At 41.2% G+C, this 18,533-nt stretch overlaps 1 protein-coding gene across 19 annotated transcripts in view; it reads left to right on the top strand.

Annotated features, from left to right (window-relative positions):
- Positions 1-18,533, top strand: part of TUBGCP5 (tubulin gamma complex component 5) — a 56,545-nt gene that overhangs the window by 6,971 nt on the left and 31,041 nt on the right. For 9 of the 19 annotated variants that reach the window (XR_007064420.1, NM_001354372.2, XM_047432130.1 and 6 more), the window contains 9 exons: positions 570-649; positions 1,579-1,714; positions 5,290-5,407; positions 6,394-6,483; positions 7,769-7,862; positions 8,406-8,652; positions 10,438-10,640; positions 13,265-13,380; positions 14,558-14,826. Coding sequence is in view for 17 of the 19 variants with exons in the window: in NM_001354372.2 (NP_001341301.1) it covers positions 570-649; positions 1,579-1,714; positions 5,290-5,407; positions 6,394-6,483; positions 7,769-7,862; positions 8,406-8,652; positions 10,438-10,640; positions 13,265-13,380; positions 14,558-14,826 (1,353 nt within the window). In the remaining 2 variants the exon portion in view is untranslated. Of the gene's footprint in view, positions 1-569; positions 650-1,578; positions 1,715-5,289; positions 5,408-6,393; positions 6,484-7,768; positions 7,863-8,405; positions 8,653-10,437; positions 10,641-13,218; positions 13,381-14,557; positions 14,827-18,533 lie in introns of those variants that run through there. The other 10 variants (NR_148875.2, NM_001354373.2, XM_017021895.2 and 7 more) reach the window with 4 other exon arrangements.

Genomic DNA, 18,533 nt, shown 5'->3' with positions numbered 1-18,533 from the left:
GCTATCACAATTGTAAAATTTTATTTAAAATGCTGTCAGCCCTCTATATTCTCAGGTTCCAGACCCACAGATTCAATCAACTACAGATCAAAAATATTCAAAATAAATAAATAATAATACAACAGTCTAAAATAATACAATCTTTTAAAAAACTATTTACATAGCATTTACATGATATTAGGTATTATAAGTAATCTAGAGATTATTTAAAGTATACAGCAGGATGTATTTAGGTTATGTGCACATACTACACCATTTTCTGTCAGCCTTGAGCATTGCGGAGGGTGGTGTACCTCCTGGAACCAATTCCCCTCAGATATTGAGGGATGACTGTATTCGTTCTAACTTTACAAACTACCTTCAGCTGTAGAAAGAGAACACTCACCTTTGAGAATGAGTTAATTAAAATGTAAAATGTTTTAGGATATCAATTTATTAAATGTTTCAATATTTTTAAATTTTTATTTCCTGAGTATTTTGAGTCTTGTTAGTCTTTTTTCCTTAGTTTTGAGGTTTTTTTTCAAAGATAGATATAATAAAGCCAATGAAGTTCTTCTGTTACATTTTAGAAAAGAAAGATGATTTCGACTGGGGAAAATACTTGATGGAAGATGAAGAAATGGACATTGGTCCGTACATGGACACACCAGTAAGTGGTAGTAGTTTTGCTATTGAAAATTGAAATACACGCCAGGTGATATAGATGATTTTCATGGGTCTTTCCACCCTAGGTCAACTTAGCTAAAACAGGAACACTCTTCACTAAGCTAGAGTCATTTATTATGGAAGACTGATTAGGATTTCGCACCAAATCATTAGTGGTAAGAAGTTAAAAGGGGCCGGGCATGGTGGCTCACATCTGTAATCTCCTGCTCACTTTCGAGAGGCAGGAGGATTGCTTGAGCCTAGGAATTTGAGACCAGCCTGGGCAACATAGCGAGATCCTGTGTCTATTTTTAAAAAATAAATTCTAAAAAAGTTGTCTGGGCTTGGTGGCTCACAACTGTAATCCCAGCATTGTGGGAGGCTGAGGTAGGCGGATCACTTGAGGCCAGAGGAGTTCGAGAGCAGCCTGGGCAACATAGTGAAACCCCGTCAACTAAGAATACAAAAAATTAGCTGGGTGTGGTGGTACACGCCTGTAATCCCAGCTACTCAGGAGGCTCAGGCACGAGAATCTCTTGAACACAGGAGGTGGAGGTTGCAATGAGCTGAGATCGTGCTATTGCACTCCAACCTGGATGACAAAGCGAGAGACTCTGTCTCAAAAAAAAAAAAAGAAGTTAAAAGGGGTGAGTACAAGTATCCCTTAAGGACCTGTGATCTTGGGACTTTTTGCCACAAAAAATAATTCCATTCCTTATTATTTCAACATTATAGAAAAAAAGAAAAAGTAGTAATCATATTTCCATTCCTATAATAGGCACTTCCAAGAGATTTAGGAAAAAAAAATTTGTTTTTCTGTTCCATGTTGCTTCAAAGTTTTTGCTTTTCTTCAAAGTTTTCTTAGTCTTTTAATGTAAATAGCTTTAAGTGTTATACTCTGTAAAGCTAAAGTGTATCTCTTTTTTAAATCAGAATTGGTCTGAAGAAAGTGAAGAGGAAAATGATCAACAGCCCTTAAGCAGAGAGGACTCTGGAATTCAGGTAGACAGGACACCGTTAGAAGAACAAGATCAAAACAGAAAACTGGATCCTTGTATCAGTTGGAAAGGTATTATGTGTTATGAGGTGCTCGCATTTTCTAATAGACAAATTCCCTAGAAGGAAAGGCAAACTTTGAGATCAGTTCCATGTAATCAAGGTATTGGCTAAGCTCTACCATCCTTATAAAACCAATTTTTAAAACCATTAGTAATGTTTTCTATGATGCTTAAGTAGTAGTACTATAGAATTAATGTTGAATTCATACATGTAGAGTGTAATTTTGTAATTTTTTTCCTATACTTCTGAGAACTTTCTCAGCTGTAAATGTTTCCTTTTTTTTTTTTTTTTTTAATTGGAGAAGGACTGATTTTGCTAAGATTGTGCCACTGCACTCCAGCTCTGGCAACAGAGCGAGACCCTGTCTCAAAAAAAAATTAAAATAAAAAAGTATAAGGGAGGATATGCATAGGTTATATGCAAATACTATGCCATTTTATATCAGGGACTTGAGCACCTGCAGATTTTGGCGTCTGCAGCATTCCTGCAACCAGTCCCCATTGGATACTGAGGGACAGCTGCATTTATTCCGGACTTTCTAATCTGTGCACTTGGTGTCAGTGTGACCCAGAAACAGACAGACTTTTTTATTTGTGTGGCTTTGTAGTATTATGTCTTAATACATAGATGGCAAGTTTCCTTTCAGCTACTTGGGAGGCTGAGGCAGGAAAATCACTTGGCTCCTTTTCTTTTTTTTTGGAGACAAGGGTCTCACTCTGTTTCCCAGGCTAGAGTGCAGTGGCACAATCTTAGCTCACTGCAACCTCTGCCTCCTGGCCTCAAGCGATCCTCCCACCTCAGCCTCCTGAGTAGCTGGAACTACAGGTGAGTGCCACCATACCCAGTTAATTTTTGTATTTTTTGTAGACACAGGGTTTCACCATGTTGCCCAGGCTAGTCTCAAACTCCTAGACTCAAGCAATTACTCCGCCTCTGCGTCCCAAAGTGCTGGGATTACAGATGTGAGCCACCATGCCCAGCCCACTTTGCTCTTCCCCCCCACCCCCTTTTTTTGAGACGGAGTCTCACTCTGTCGCCCAGGCTATGGTACAGTAGCATGATCTCACCTCACTGCAAACTCCATCTCCCAGGTTCAAACAATTCTCCTGCCTCAGTTTCCCGAGTAGCTGGGGTTACAGGCGTGTACCACACTCAGCTAATTTTTGTATTTTTAGTAGAGACAGGGTTTCACCATGTTGGCCAGGCTGGTCTCAAATTCCTGACCTCAACTCGTCCACCTGCCTCTGCCTCCCAACGTGCGGGGATTACAGATGTGAATCACTGCTCTTTTTCAAAATTGGCTTAGCTATTTGTGAACTTTTATTCTTCTATAGACATTTTGGAAGCAGGGTGGTAAACTTTAAAGAAAAAAAAGGCCAGGTGCAGTGGCTTACGCCTGTAATCGCAGCACTTTGGGAGGCCGAGCTGGGTGGATCACTTGAGGTCAGGAGTTCAAGACCAGCCTGACCAACATGGTGAAACCCCACGTCTACTAAAAATACAAAATTAGCTGGGCATAGTGGCGCATGCCTGTAATCCCAGCTACCTGGGAGGCTGAAGCAGAAGAATCGCTTGAACCCAGCAGGTAGAGGTTGCAGAGAGCCAAGATCACACCATTGCACTCCAGCCTGGGCAACAAGAGCAAAACTTTATCTCAAAAAAAATAAATAAATAAAAAATAATCCAGCTGGAGTTTTTATTGGGATTGCAGAGAATTTATAGATCTAATTTGGGGAGGCTTGATTGCCTTAACATAATAATAGCTACATTTATCGTAATTTTTTATCTTTTACTAGAGTTTGGAAATTTTTTTTAAACATCTTGAGTGTTCATTTGTTAATTTCTACATATGTTATAGTTTTTATTTTTGTGAATGTTGCCTCTTTTGTTTATTCCTGATGTAGAAGAAATAATATTGCTTTCTGTAAGTTGTCCGTATATGCAGCATTTTTACTGAATTCTCATAATAGTTTGTTGATTCATTTGGTTTCTTATATAGATGATTAGTATCATCTGCGAATATTGATGGTTTTATTCTTCCTGCTAGTTCTTATGCCTGTATCTTCTCTGTGACATGATCAAATCTCTTTTCTGGCCCAGCAGCCCAACCCTCTAGTCCGTAGCAGAAGCAACAGCTCATGGGAGTGGGCTTCCTGGATGACTAGGTCTCATCCTAAGGGGGGTTATACCTGAAACTCCTCCGTTAAGTGTGATGGTTGTTTGGTATCAGTTCAGGGTATGTGGCCTTTATCAAATTAAGACAATTTCCTTCTATTACTTTTTTTTTCTAGAAGTCTTTAATTATGAATAAATGTTGAATTTTTATTAAATGCTACTATTTATCCGTGAGATAATCTCATAACTTTTCTCTTTTATCCTAATAATGCATCGATAGATTTTCTGATGTTGAATTATCCTTGAATTCTTCACCTAAACTTGCTTGATCATGTTATTTTTTAGTACATTTTTAGATCGGATTCAATTTTGGATTTGCTTTTTTTTTTTTTTTTTTTTTAAGACCGGGCCCTGCTCTGTCACCCAGGCTGGAGTGCAGTAGCGTGATCACAGCTCACTCCAGCCTCAACCTCCTGGGCTCAAAGTATCCTCCCACCTCAGCCTCCTAAGAAGCTGGGGCTTCCAGTGCATGCCACCACACCCAGCTAAGTTTGTTACTTTTTTGTAGAGATGAGGTCTCACTATGTTTGAGACCAGCCCAGGCTGGGATTGCAGGTGTGAGCCACCGAGCCCAACAGGTTAGCTCTTTTTTAATGTAGGATTTTTCATCTTTATTCTTTGATGAATTACATGTATCCTGTCTTTGTCTAGTTTAAAGCATCACTGTTACATTAGCCTCATAAAATGTTAGGTGGCTTTCTCTTTTTCTGCTTTTTCAAACAACTTGTATAAGATAGAGGTTATCTAATCCTTCAAAATTTAGCACCAGTCCTGAGACTTCCGTAGTGGTTGGGAAGGTCTTCAGTTACCATTTCAGTTTCCTTAATGGTTACTGGACAATTAACATATACCATTTATATCTTTTTATGTATGTGGCAATTTTTTTTTTTTTTACTTTCTAGTCAGTTACATTTAATTAAATTTAGTATGCGTTTCTATATGTGTGGTTTTATTTTATTTTACTTTGTTTTTTGAGATAGGGTCTTACTGTGTCACCCAGGCTGGAGCGTAGTGGCATGATCTCAGATCACTGCAGCCTCAACCTCTTGGCTCAACCAGTCCCCTCTCGTGTCAGCCTCCCGAGAACAAGCACATGCCACCATCCCTGGCTAATTTTTTTGTATTTTTTGTGGAGATGGGGGGTCATACTTTGTTGCCCAGGCTGGTCTTGAACTCCTGGATTCAAGTGGTCATCCCACCCTGGCTTCCCAAAGGGCTGGGATTATATGTGTGAGCCATAGAACCCAGCAGATATATGTGGTTTAAAATAATCATATATACATAAATGTTAGGTAGCTGTTATTTTTAAAAAGCCATTTTCAACTATACGTTTGAATGGAGCTGTAAGTCCAGGTATTGTGACCCAGTATTTTGTTGTTGTTAACTCAAACTGATTACATTTCTTTCAAGCAGATGAGCCAGATGACCGAAGCTGGCTGGAACATCATGTGGTCCATCAGTACTGGACAGCCAGGCCCTCCCAGTTTCCTCATAGTTTACATTTGCACTCTAATTTAGCTGCTGTCTGGTAAGAAGCTAAAGTTTTCATTTAATGTGATGATAGAAGAAACTTTGATGTTTAAACGTTTGGCTTTGATTTGTGACTTAAGTTCTTCCCTGAAATTTAAACTTGTTTTTGTTTTGACAATTCTTTTTTTTTTGGAGACAGATTCTCACTCTTCGTTGCCCAGACTGCAGTGCAGTGGTCAGATCTCAGCTCACTGCAGTCTAGACCTCACTCAACTAATTTTTTATTTTTTATTTTATTTTACTTTTTTTTGCAGGGGGAGACAAAGTCTCGCTCTGTCACCCTGGCTGGAGTGCAGTGGCGTAATCATGGCTCACTGTAACATCTGCCTCCCGGGTTCCAGCAATTGTCGTCCTTCAGCCTCCCAAGTAGCTGAGATTATAGGTGCATGCCACCATGCCCAGCTAATTTTTATATTTTTAGCGGAGATGGGGTTTTACCATGTTGGCCAGGCTGGTCTTGAACTCCTGTCCTCAAGTGATCCACCTGCCTCGGCCTCCCAAAGTGCTGGAATTACAGGCGTGAGCCAGCACACCTGGCTGGTGTTGAAAATTTTAGTTGAATAGTTTTTAATTATTTGTTATTGAAAATCATTAAATTATAGTATTATTTAATTATAGTCTCTGTTTCCATTTTTTGTTGTTAATTTCAGTGTAAATGGATTGGTATATATTAGGGCATTATTTGATTTCTGTTTTGGTATACTTACTGCAAAAATACACATCTTGTTTTCCAGAAAACAACATTACATAGTTGTAAACATTTGCCTAAATCAGCAATAAACGTAACAATTGTAATTGTTCTGAAAGTGTTTCTCAGAGTATTCTGATTGACATGAAAATATAGGGGGCATTTAAGCCATTTATTATGTATACTTGTTAGTTGATTGCTACTTAAGTTAGCACTAAATTGCAGATATTCTTTGAGATAAGTTATTTACTTACTTAGAAACCTTTCTATTGACATTTATGTTTGCTGTCTCATAGGGACCAACACTTGTACAGCAGTGATCCATTGTATGTTCCAGATGACAGGGTTTTGGTTACTGAGACTCAGGTTATTCGGGAAACCCTATGGTAAGAAATGTTCATTTAATTAATAGTCTTTATGAGACTTGATTACTGAGAAGCAAAAACTTTTATTAAAGGAAACTTTTCAAGCATTTTCACATGCAAACTAGAAAAGGTCCATTAGGTGTGAAGTTCGGACCAGATTTGACTGTGGAGATTGAGAGAGTTTGATATAATTACTTCATTTTCATTTTAAATAATTTAGCATATGATTTACTTAGGTTAGCCCATCTCTTCTTTAACACCTGAGTTCAAAGCAAGATTTGCTACTGATTTTTTTTTTTTTTTTTTGAGACGGAGTCTCACTCTGTTGCTCAGGCTGGAGTGCAGTAGCTCTATCTCAGCTCACTGCAAGCTTCACCTCCTGGGTTCACGCCATTCTCCTGCCTCAGCCTCCCGAGTAGCTGGGACTACAGGAACCCACCACCAAGCCCGGCTAATTTTTACTTTTTTAGTAGAGACGGGGTTTCACCATGTTAGCCAGGATGGTCTAGATCTCCTGACCTCATGATCCACCCACCTTGGCCTCCCAAAGTGCTGGGATTACAGGCGTGAGCCACCGCGCCGGTAGCTACTGACTATTCTTAATAGGTGGAGTATATCAATGAGGGCCTGTGCCCGTACCTGGAAGCCAGGAATCTAATGCGGCACATGGTGCTGTTACTACTGAAATTCCAAGTCCTGGTGCTCTCACCATAAAGTATGATATTGACATGCTCGCATTCTTAGAAATAGGAAGATCTCTTTGGGTCGTCAAGTATATAGGGGAGATGCTTTGACAACATGTTTTAGACTTCTCTAAGATGATGTTGAAATATCTTGAGTCTTAGGGTAATCAGATGAAAAGATTGATGTCTTCCATTTTCTTATTATCTGACCTTTTTGCCCCTAATTCTGAATATTTAATAAAAATTTCCTGAGGTGGGGCATGGTGGTTCACACCTGTAATCCCAGTGCTGTGGGAGGCCAAGGCAGGTGGATCACTTGAGCTCAGGAGTTCGAGACCAGCCTGGGCAACATGGTGAAACCCCGTATCTACAAAAAATGCAAAAATTAGCCAGGCATGGTGACATGCACCTGTAGTCCCAACTGCTGGAGAGGCTGAGGCTGCAGAATCACTTGAACCCAGGAGGTTGTGGCTCCAGTGAGCTGTGATCATGCTGCTGCACTCCAGCCTGGGTGGGTGACAAAGTGAGTCCCTGTCAAAAAAAAAAAAAAATGTCCTGGGCATACTGTCATGAATATTTTTCTAGACTTAAAGTACACTCGTCTTTTTTTAATCTCATTTCAGGTTACTTTCAGGAGTGAAAAAGCTCTTTATATTTCAGTTGATAGATGGGAAGGTAACTGTGAGAAACAATATTATAGTAACTCATTTAACACATGTAAGTTATTTGTATTTATGGTAATTTAAGAAATAGGATTTATGTAAACTAGTAATATAATTTTAGAACATTTTACAATATTAAAATTGCTATTGAACTCGTTCTTGCTTCCTCACATGCAAAAAAAAGCTAACTTAAAAATATTTAATATCCAAAAAGAAAAATTGAGTTGTGCATCTTTATAGTACGTAGAGGATTCCTTAATATTGTTTGGAACATATTTAATTTCAATTTGCATTTTCTGCTTTTTATTTGTCATTCTGTATTGTGAAAGTTATATACTGTAATTTTGTTTTGCTTTAAGTACATTTACTTATGTATGTTTTTAAAAATATAAGCCATAATTCTCTAGTCTGTTGAAATTATTGTTCACTTTTTCCTTTGTGTATAAAATTATAAATATTAATCATATTATTACTTTGTCTTCTACTAAACATACTGTTTAAAACAATTGCAAAAGAAGTATTTTACAGCGAGAGGGAAATGAATTTGAATGTTTACAGAAGACCACCTTTGAATAATTGCAGTTTGCTTGTGTTGTAGAGCTGTTTACGATCTGTGCTGGAACAAATAGCAGCATATGGCCAGGTTGTGTTTCGACTCCAGGAGTTCATTGATGAAGTCATGGGACACAGTTCTGAGAGCATGCTGCCTGGAAGTGGGTCTGTTCCTAAGAAGTCAACTGAAGCTCCCTTTAGAACCTACCAGGCTTTCATGTGGGCCCTGTACAAATATTTCATTAGTTTCAAAGAGGAACTTGCAGAAATTGAGAAGTGCATCATCAATAATGGTATTAAATGTTCTTCATCTTTACTCATACTACACGTAACTCATAATTTGAATGCCACTTAGAGTTTTTATTATATAAGATTTGAAAGTTGCCTAGCAGATAAGTAGTTCTCGTGAATGCTTCTTTTAAAATTATTTTAAATTTATATTTTTAAGCCATTCATATCTCTAAAAATCAAAAAACTACAGAAGATTTAGAATGAAAAATCTAAATTATTCTTCCTGCACCAGTACCCCAGCCAGTCAGTTCTCCTCTCCAGAGACAGCCAGGTCCTTGGCTTCTTACGCATCCTTCCAGAAAGAGTTTCAACATACATGAGCAGTGCATATACATATACGCATACCTAGCAGTCATTACACTGCTCTCTTCAAATTTTTCCAGTTTAAATTTTGAGGATAATACCATACATATATGAAGAGCTTCTGTTTTCCTTTTTACAAATTGAGTGTTTCATCATATGGTCGTGTCATAGCCCAGTCCCCTTAATGGATTTAGGTTGTTCCCAGGCTTTTGCTATTGCCAGTAGTGCTGCAGTGATAATCACTTCTACATATCCGTTATCGTACACAGGCAGTGAGTTATCTGTAGGGTAGGTTCTTTTTTTTTTTTTTTCATTTGAGACGGAGTCTCGCTCTGTTACCTAGGCTGGAGTGCAGTGGCTCAATCTCTGCTTACTGCAAGCTCCGCCTCCCGGGTTCACGCCATCCTCCTGCCTCAGCCTCCCGAGTAACTGATTACAGGCACCTGCCACCATCCCCAGCTAATTTTTGTATTTTCAATAGAGACAGGCTTTCACCATGTTGACCACCTTGGCCTCCCAAAATGCTGGGATTACGGGCATAAGCTGGGATTATACTGCATCTGACCATGTGGGGTAGGTTCTTATAAATGGAATTGCTGGGTCATGTGTGATTTTCCTAAGTTTTGCCACTTTATGGGGAGGTATAGGTAAATACATTTTTACTGTTGTGAACCAAGTAGATGAATACCTGTTTCCTCACACTTCTTGCCATCTGTGTGTTACCAGACGTTTTGGTCTTCACCAGTATGACAGCTGTAAAATGGTAACCCATGTAGCTTTTTTCCCCTTAAATTTCATTTTGAACTACCACAAAAAATAGTACAGAGAGGCCCTGTGTTCCCATGACCTTGCTTCCCCCAGTGGTAAAACCTTACATAGTGACAGTACATGGTCAAAACTGGGAAACTGACATTGACACAGCACATTAGCCAAACTGCAGACCTGACATGGTTTCACCAGTGTCGCAGGAACTTGCTTTGAACAGGGGTGGGTGTGGTATATTCATGTATAGTTTATCACATGTCTAGCTCCACATAGCCACTTCCATGTTCAGATCACAGCTGTGCCATCGCCTCCCAGGAGCTTGCTTGTGCAGCCCTTTGTAGGCACAGCCTCCCTCACCCCTCTCTGTAACATTAGCCCATTGGGAGGTGTTTTGTTTTACCTAGTGTAATTTTAATTTGCGTTCTTTTATTATAAGTAAGGTCAAGTGACTTTCTGTATGTTTTAGAATCACTCATCATTCCTTTTTTATGAACTGTCAGTTCCTTTATACATTATTTTTCTGCTGAGTTGTCTTTTTCTCTGTGACTTGCAGGAGTTCTTCCTTAGGGAAATTAGGTCCTTGTGGTATGAGATTAAAATCCACCGTCCTCCATTTTGCCCTGCCTGTCCATAAGCCTGATGATTTGCCAGCATTTATGTCACATTTTAGATGCATGTATTTTTCCTTGCTGTTGAGTTTGATTTATTGATATTTGCAGATACTACAATAACTCTTGCAATAGTGGTGGACAAGTTGGCACCTCGATTGTCTCAGCTCAAGGTTCTGCACAAAGTGTTTAGTACTGGAGTAGCAGAAGTTCCACCTGATACTCGAAATGTCGTCCGGGCCTCTCACCTGCTTAACACCCTGTACAAGGCCATTCTTGAATATGACAATGTTGGAGAAGCCTCTGAGCAAACCGTAAGTGAGACTTCTGCCTAAAGTGTGTGACTCCATGCTGCACAGCAGAGGAGTGATAGACAGCTGATGGTAGTTCTTTGTTGATACTTGAATGATGACTCGTCAGACAGTTCAGAGTTTTTAAATTAACTTCCAAATTTAAGGCTGTAGGAAACTGGCTTTTCAGCTCTAATTGCCAAGATCCTCAGAAGGATGAGGCAAGGACAAGGCAAGCTGTGAGAAGTACCTACCTGATGTGTATAGATATTTACAATAACGCTTTCTTACATAAACACTAACATGTAACTAACATGACATGAGATAGCTGAAGTAGACACATCCACAGAAACAAAGTGGAATGCTGGTTACCAAGGGCTGGGGAATGGGGAGCTGTTGTTTAATGGGTACAGAGTTTCAGTTTTATAACATGAAAAAGTTCTGGAGATTTGTCACAACGATATGAATGTACTTAAAACCTCTGAACTTAAAAATGCTGAGGGTCAGGCACAGTGGCTCGTGCCTGTAATCCCAACACTTTGGGAGGCCGAGGCAGGAGGATTGATTGAGCCCAGGAGTTTGAGACTTGCCTGGGCAACATAGTAAGACTCTGTCTTTAAAAAATTAGTTAAATTAAAATTTTTTAAAATATACAGTTAAGATAAATTTTATGTTATATATTTTATATTGTATTTTAAAAAATACAAATCTAGGCCATGCATAGTGGCTCACGCCTGTAGTCCCAGCTACATATGAGTCTGAGGTGAGAGGATCACTTGAGCCCAGGAATTTGAGACCAGCCCGGGCAACATACTGAGACCCTGTCTCTACAAAAAATTTTTAAAGTAGCCAGGTGTGCTGACACCAGGAATTCGAGACCAGCCTGGCCAACATGGTGAAACCCCGTCTCTACTAAAAATACAAACATTAGCCTAGTGTGGTGGCGAACACCTGTCATCCCAGCTACTCAGGAGGCTGAGGCAGGAGAATTGCTTGAACCCGGGAGGATGCAGTGAGCCGAGATCGCACCACTACACTCCAGCCTGGGCAACAGAGCAAGACTCTGTCTCAAAAAAGGTAGCCAGCTCTGGAGGCACATGCCTATGGTCCCAGGTACTCGAGAGGCTAAGGCAGGAAGATGGCTTGAGTGTGGAAGGTCAAGGCTGCAGTGAGCCATGTTTGTGCCACTGCACTCCAGCTTGGGTAACAGAGCAAGACCCTGTCTCAAACAATATATAGATTTAAAAATAAAAATCTAACTAGAGGCTGTAATTTAGAATGCTACAGTCTTAGTTGGGTATGTACATTAGGTGTATTTTCTAGTTTGTTGGTATAACTTTTTTTCACACCAATTTAATACCATATTTCTTTTTTTCTTTTTTTTTTTTTTTTTTTTTTGAGACGTAGTCTTGCTCTGTTGCCAGGCTGGAGTGCAGTCGCACGATCTTGGCTCACTGCAACCTCCACCTCCCAGGTTCAAGTGATTCTTCTGCCTCAGCCCCCTGAGTAGCTGGGACTACAGGCGCACATCACCATGCCCGGCTAATTTTTTGGGGTTTTTTTTTGTTTTTTGTTTGAGATGGAGTCTCGCCCTGTCGCCCAGGCTGGAGTGCAGTGTCATGATCTTGGCTCACTGCAACCTCTGCCTCCTGGGTTCAAACTATTCTCCTGCCTTAGCCTCCTGAGTACCTGGGATTACAGGCGCCCACCACCATGCCCATCTAATTTTTGTATTTTTAATAGAGATGGGGTTTCACCATGTTGGCCAGGCTGGTCTCGAGCTCCTGACCTCCTGATCCGCCTACCTCGGCCTTCCAAAGTGCTGGGATTACAGGCATGAGCCACCACACCCAGCTGTATTTTTTTTTAATAGAGATGGGGTTTCACCATATTGGCCAGGCTGGTCTCAAACTCCTGCCCTTGTGATCTGCCCACCTCAGCCTCCCAAAGTGCTGGGGTTACAGGCGTGAGCCACCATGCCCAGCCAATTTCCTCATCCTTAATGGATGCTTTGCTAGTAATAGGATTTAGATAGGGAAACCTTGTTCGCTTGCCTGGGCTATCTCAGGATACACCTGCTGCCTCTGTGTCACTTTCACTCTCAAGTTTCCCAGTCTGGACTACAAACAATATGATCATCCCATATTTAGGTGAGTTTTTCTTTTTTCTTTTTTTTTTCTTTTTGTTTTGAGACAGTGTCACTCTGTTGCCAGGCTGGAGTGTAGTGGCACGATCTTGGCTCATTGCAGCCTCCACCTGCCAGATTCAAGCAATTCTCCTCCCTCAGCCTCCCAAGTAGCCAGGACTACAGGCGCGTGTCACCATGCCCAGCTAATTTTTGTATTTTTAGTAGAGAGGGGGTTTCACCATGTTGGCCAGGATGGTCTCGATTTCTTACCTCAGGTGATCCGCCCACCTCGGTCTCCCAAAGTGCTGGGATCACAGGCGTGAGCCACCACGCCCGGCATTTAGGTGAGTTTTTCATAAGGATTTTATAGTGTATGTTTTTGGATTTTTAATTTCTTTGTGCCCCAAAAAACATAGAAATCCGATCACTTTTTTAAAGGCATTTCAGAAATGTTTAAACCTCCTTTTATCCTAGTGACCAGGGAACCCTGAGAGCTGACCGTGCACACTCTCTGCCTCAGGTCTCCCTCCTTTTCTCTCTCTGGGTGGAAACGGTGCGGCCTTACCTGCAGACGGTGGACGAGTGGATCGTGCACGGGCACCTGTGGGATGGCGCCAGGGAGTTCATCATCCAGAGGTGAGCTGCAGCAGAGCACAAGGTCACTGGGGGCTGGCATCACCAGTTTCCTCCCCATGAAAATCAAATGCTTTCGTTAGTTTCAGACAGTACTGAGAAAGCACAGTTCACATCACAGAACTTGTCGTCATCATAGGCAAGTTCTATCTCATTTTTACGGAAGGCATCAGTAATACCAGCTGATTAGAAATATCTTTGTCCAAGTTTTGTCAGTCCGCAACTTTTCTTAAGCAAATTATATTTTTGGATGGTAGTATATTTATGGCTAGCTAGTACACACTGCTTCCCATAAAATGAGTTTAGATGATATCATATGGTTTCAGCTATTTCCATTGTAAATTATCAGTAAAGAGATACAGAAATATTACAGAGTATGCCTCTAATATATTTATTTCTCTGAATTATCTACTGATTTCTTTTACCTTAGTATATTTTACAAAACAAGGAAAATCTTAATCCATTTATGACAATTTCCCTTCAGTTAATTGATTTTTCTGAATAGAATCATATAAACAATGTAGAGCTATTTGTACTCTTTTAGCCCAATTTTAAATTATGCGGTATATTTAGATATATGGTTTCTATTGATAGCTATCCATTGAGCTCATCAGGAAGGATAACTTTAAGTCTTTAGTGTTCTGGAAGGGTAGCAATATGTATGCAATGCTCACATAAGTGAACTGACCCTTCCTTCAACTCAATCTCATATCTGTCACTGTGTTCTGATTCATCAATCTCACATGAGAATTTTTGTGAAAAATAGGACTCTGACTGTTCTTCTAGGGTGATGATTGACCATCATTTTATTGTTAAAAGTAGTCCAGTTAAGAATCTTTGTAGGGAAAATGATAGAGAAGTCTGCAAATTAGTTTCACAGCAGATGGTAAATGGATAAACTTTTATTCTTCTTCTAAAGAGGACCAAATTAGTCATATTTTAAATAATTCCAATTCAGGAAACTATTTCTACTTAAATTTTACTTACACTATTCAAAGTATTTATTCACTTTTCTCTTTAAACTGAGATGAGATTAAAACTGTCCCATTTTGCCTAAAGTTTGCTTCAGTTTACTAATAATTAATACTATGTTTTATAATGTCTGGACAACAAACTAGAACAAGTATGCTGTTTTTAAGAAAGAGAAATAAGAGTTTAAAATTCTTTTGAATCTCTTTAGAAACAAAAATGTTCCAGTTAATCACAGAGACTTCTGGTATGCAACTTACACGTTATATAGCGTATCAGAAAAGACAGAAAATGAAGAAAAAATGAGTGATAACGCTAGTGCGAGTTCCGGCAGTGACCAGGGGCCCTCCAGCAGGCAGCACACCATGGTGTCCTTCCTCAAACCTGTCCTGAAGCAGATCATAATGGCTGGCAAGTCGATGCAGCTGCTGAAGAACCTGCAGTGTGCGGAGAGCACCACCTGCCAGGCAGGAGCCAGAGGTACTTGTTCCGTCTTCCTGTGTCTCTCTTGGTGTTGGGACACCTGACCCTACTCGCTCTTGTCATCCTGATACCTAATTATTTTGTAGTTTGCAAGTCATCAAACCCTCTTATTTCGGTGGCAATTATCGTCATGGTTGAATTAGTAACCATGCTGCTCTTGATTTTTTAAAAGATTGTCTTCATTGAAAACTTTTAGTGCTGTGTTTGAAAAGGCAGTGACGATAAGTTCCACATGCATTTTCCTCACTCTGGATTCCTTAGGACTGGAACTTTAAAAAGTAATCCCCTGCCATTTCTTTTCTTTTATTATTTTTATAAATTGACATAATAATTGTACATATTCATGGGGTACATAGTGATGTTTTGATACATATATAGTGATCAGATCAGGATAATTAGCACTTCCATCATCTCAAACATTTACTACTTCTTTATGTTGGGGACATTCAGTATCCTCTTCTTTGCTATGTGCAACTCTATAATACATTATTAACTATAGTCATCCCATAGTGATACAGAGCACTAGAACTTATTCCTTCCAGCTAGCTATTTGTATCCTTTAACAAATATCTTCCTCTTTCTCCCTTCCCCCTACAAAATCCAGCATCTGGTATCCTGTTCTACTTTTTACTAATACGAGATCAACATTTTTTAGCTACCAGATGAGTGAGAACATGCAGTGTTTAACTTTCTGTTCCTGGCTTATTTCACTTAATGTCCACCATTTCCATCAGTGTTGCTGCAAACAACAGGATTCACTCTTTTATCTTCAAGATATATACATATATATATATATATATCTCACAATTTTTTTACCCATTCATCTGTTGTTGGGCACCTAGGTTGATTCCATGTCTTGGCTGTGTGAATAGTGCTGCAGTAAACATGGGGGTGCGGATGTCTCTTTGATATCCTGATTTCCTTTCCTTTGGATAAATGCCCACCAGTGGGATTGCTATATCATATAGTAGTTCTATTTGTAGTTTTTTGAGGAACCGCCAAACTGTTCTCCATGGTGTCTGTACTAGTTTATGTTCCCACCAACATTGTGTAAGAGTTTCCTTTTCTCCACATCCTCACCAGCATTTATTTTTTGTCTTCGTGATAAATAACCATCCTGACTGGGGTGAAATGATACCTCATTGTGGTTTTGATTTGCATTTTCCCTAATAATTAGTGATGCTGAGCATTTTTTCATCTATTTCTTGGCCATTTGTATTACTTCTTTGGAGAAATGTCTGTTCAGATCATTTGCCTTTTTTTTTTTTTTTTCCTGAGACAGAGTTTTACTCCCATCACCCAGGCTGGAGTGCAGTGGTGCAATCTGGGCTCACTGCAAGCTCTGCCTCCCTGGCTCAAGTGATTCTCCTGCTTCAGCCTCCTGAGCAGCTGGGATTATAGGCACCCGCCACCACACCCGGCTGATTTTTTGTGTTTTTAGTAGAGACGAGGTTTCACCATGTTGGCCAGGCTGATCTCGAACTCCTGACCTCAAGTGATCTGCCCGCCTTGGCCTCCCAGAGTGCTGGGATTACAGGCGTGAGCCACCGTGCCTGGCCTCATTCATTGAATTCTTTCACTGTAAAATTTGTTTGTTAAACATCTGTTTCTGTTGAATTTCTCATTCAAATCATTCTTTTCCTGATTTTGTTGAGTGTTTATTTGTACTGTCTTGTATCTCACCGAGTTCTCTTGTATCTCACCGAGTTTCCTTAAGATTTTAATTCTGAATTATTTTTCCGGCATTTCCTATATCATTGTAGTCTCTTGCTAGAGAATTATTGGTTTTCTTGGGAGGTGTCATGTTTCTTTGCTTTTTCATGTTTGATGTATTTCTACATTGATTTCTACACATCTGGTGGGAAAGTCACCTTTTCCAATTTTATGGAGTACGTTTTGTAAAGAGTTATTCATATGAATGGGTCTTGGAGTGTGGGTTCAGTGGGATGCATTCACCTTGGTTCTGGACAAATGCAGTAGTATAGTCTCCATGTACTTTCTTCAGTTGTAATCCACTTTAGTGATGTTTGCAAGTGCCTCAGTGGCCTACAGTGAGGGGGTTTGTGGCAACAGTGGCACAGTTGGCTGGGCGTGGTGGCTCACGCCTATAATCCCAGCACTTTCTTTTTTGAGACAGTCTTGCTCTATTACCTAGGCTGGAGTGCAGTGGCATGATCTCGGCTCACTGCAAACTCTGCCTCCTGGGTTCAAGTCATTCTCTTGCCTCAGTCTCTCAAGTAGATGGGATTACAGGCATGTGCCACCACGCCTGGCTAATTTTTGTATTTTTAGTAGCGATCGGGTTTTACCATGTTGGTGAGGCTGATCTCAAACTCCTAGCCTCAAGCAATCCACCCGCCTCGGCCTCCCAAAGTATTGGGATTGCAGGCGTGAGCCATCACGCCCAGCCAATCCCAGCACTTTCGGAGGCCAAGGCAGGTGGATTACTTGAGGCCAGGAGTTTGAGACCAGCCTGGCCAACATGGTGAAACCCTGTCTCTACCCAAAATATAAAAATTAGCTAGATGTGGTGGCGCATGCCTATAATCCCAGCTGCTTGGGAGGCTGAGGCACAAGAATCACTGGAACCCGGAAGGCGGAGGTTTGCAGTGAGCCAAGATTATACCACTGTACTCCAACCTGGGCAACAAAGCAAGACTCTGTCCCAAAACAAAAAACAAACAGTAGCACAGCTTTGCTGGGATGGGCTTGCTGGACTGTTTCTCAGATTAGGGGTACATGCATGTACACAGTGGTTTGGCCAAGGTGGGGTCTGGCTCAGGGTTTGGGACCACAGGCTGTTACTCTGGCCAGGAACATGAGCATGTGGTTGCTTGGCCAGCCTATAGGTTTATTTGCCTGCCAGCAATGGCCCAAGGGGCTGTTTCTCAGGCCTAGGATGTAGGCACAAAACTGGTTTTCTGGCCAGGGGCTCCATGAGAACAGCCCTCAGGGTCATTTCTCAAGCCTTGGACATGAGCACAGGCTTCTTTGCTCGCCTGGGAGTATGTTTGCTGGGGGTAACCTATAAGGCTGTTTCTTAGGCCCAGGATGTGGGTACAAGGCTGCTTTGCTAGCCTGGGTGCATGTCTGCCTGCACAGTTCAAGGGGCTCTTTCTCAGTCCTGGGACATGGTCACATGGCTTGTTGGCCGTCCTAGGTATGTATCTGCCAGTGGCAGCCCATGAGGCTGCTTCTGAGGCCCAGCATGTGGGTGGAAGGCTGCTTGGCTGGCATGAGGGTGTGATTACTGGGGGTGGTCTTCAAGGCTCTTTCTCAGGTTTGGGATATGGGTGCCAGCTGGCTCAGAACATGCCCACCAAGGGCAGACCACAGGGCTGTTTGGCAGGCCCAGTATGCAGGCCTGTGGCCGCTCTGTTGGCCTGTGACTCCCAGGCGCTGCCTATGGGGCTTCTTCTCCAACCAAAGATGCCGTGCAAGGCCGCTCAAGAAGCCTAGGTACATGCCTGCCAGGGCAGCCTCTGAAACTGTTTCTCAGACCCTGAATGCTGACCCAGGGCCACTGGGTAGGCCACGGGCCTGTCTGCAAGGGGTTGATGCTGTGGGGCTGTTTCTCAGTTCCTGGGCAAAGGTCTGTAACTGCTTCACCAGCCTGGAGGCATGTCAGCTGGTAGGAAGCTCAGGGGTCTGTTCCCACCCTCTAGAGATGGCACAGCAATTTGGCCAGCTCAAAGATGGGTTTG

The sequence above is a fragment of the Homo sapiens genome, chromosome 15, assembly GCF_000001405.40.
Source record: "Homo sapiens chromosome 15, GRCh38.p14 Primary Assembly".
Classification (NCBI taxonomy): Eukaryota; Metazoa; Chordata; class Mammalia; order Primates; family Hominidae; genus Homo; species Homo sapiens.
Note: the sequence above shows the minus strand (reverse complement) of the source record. Positions and strands in the feature narration are given on the sequence as shown.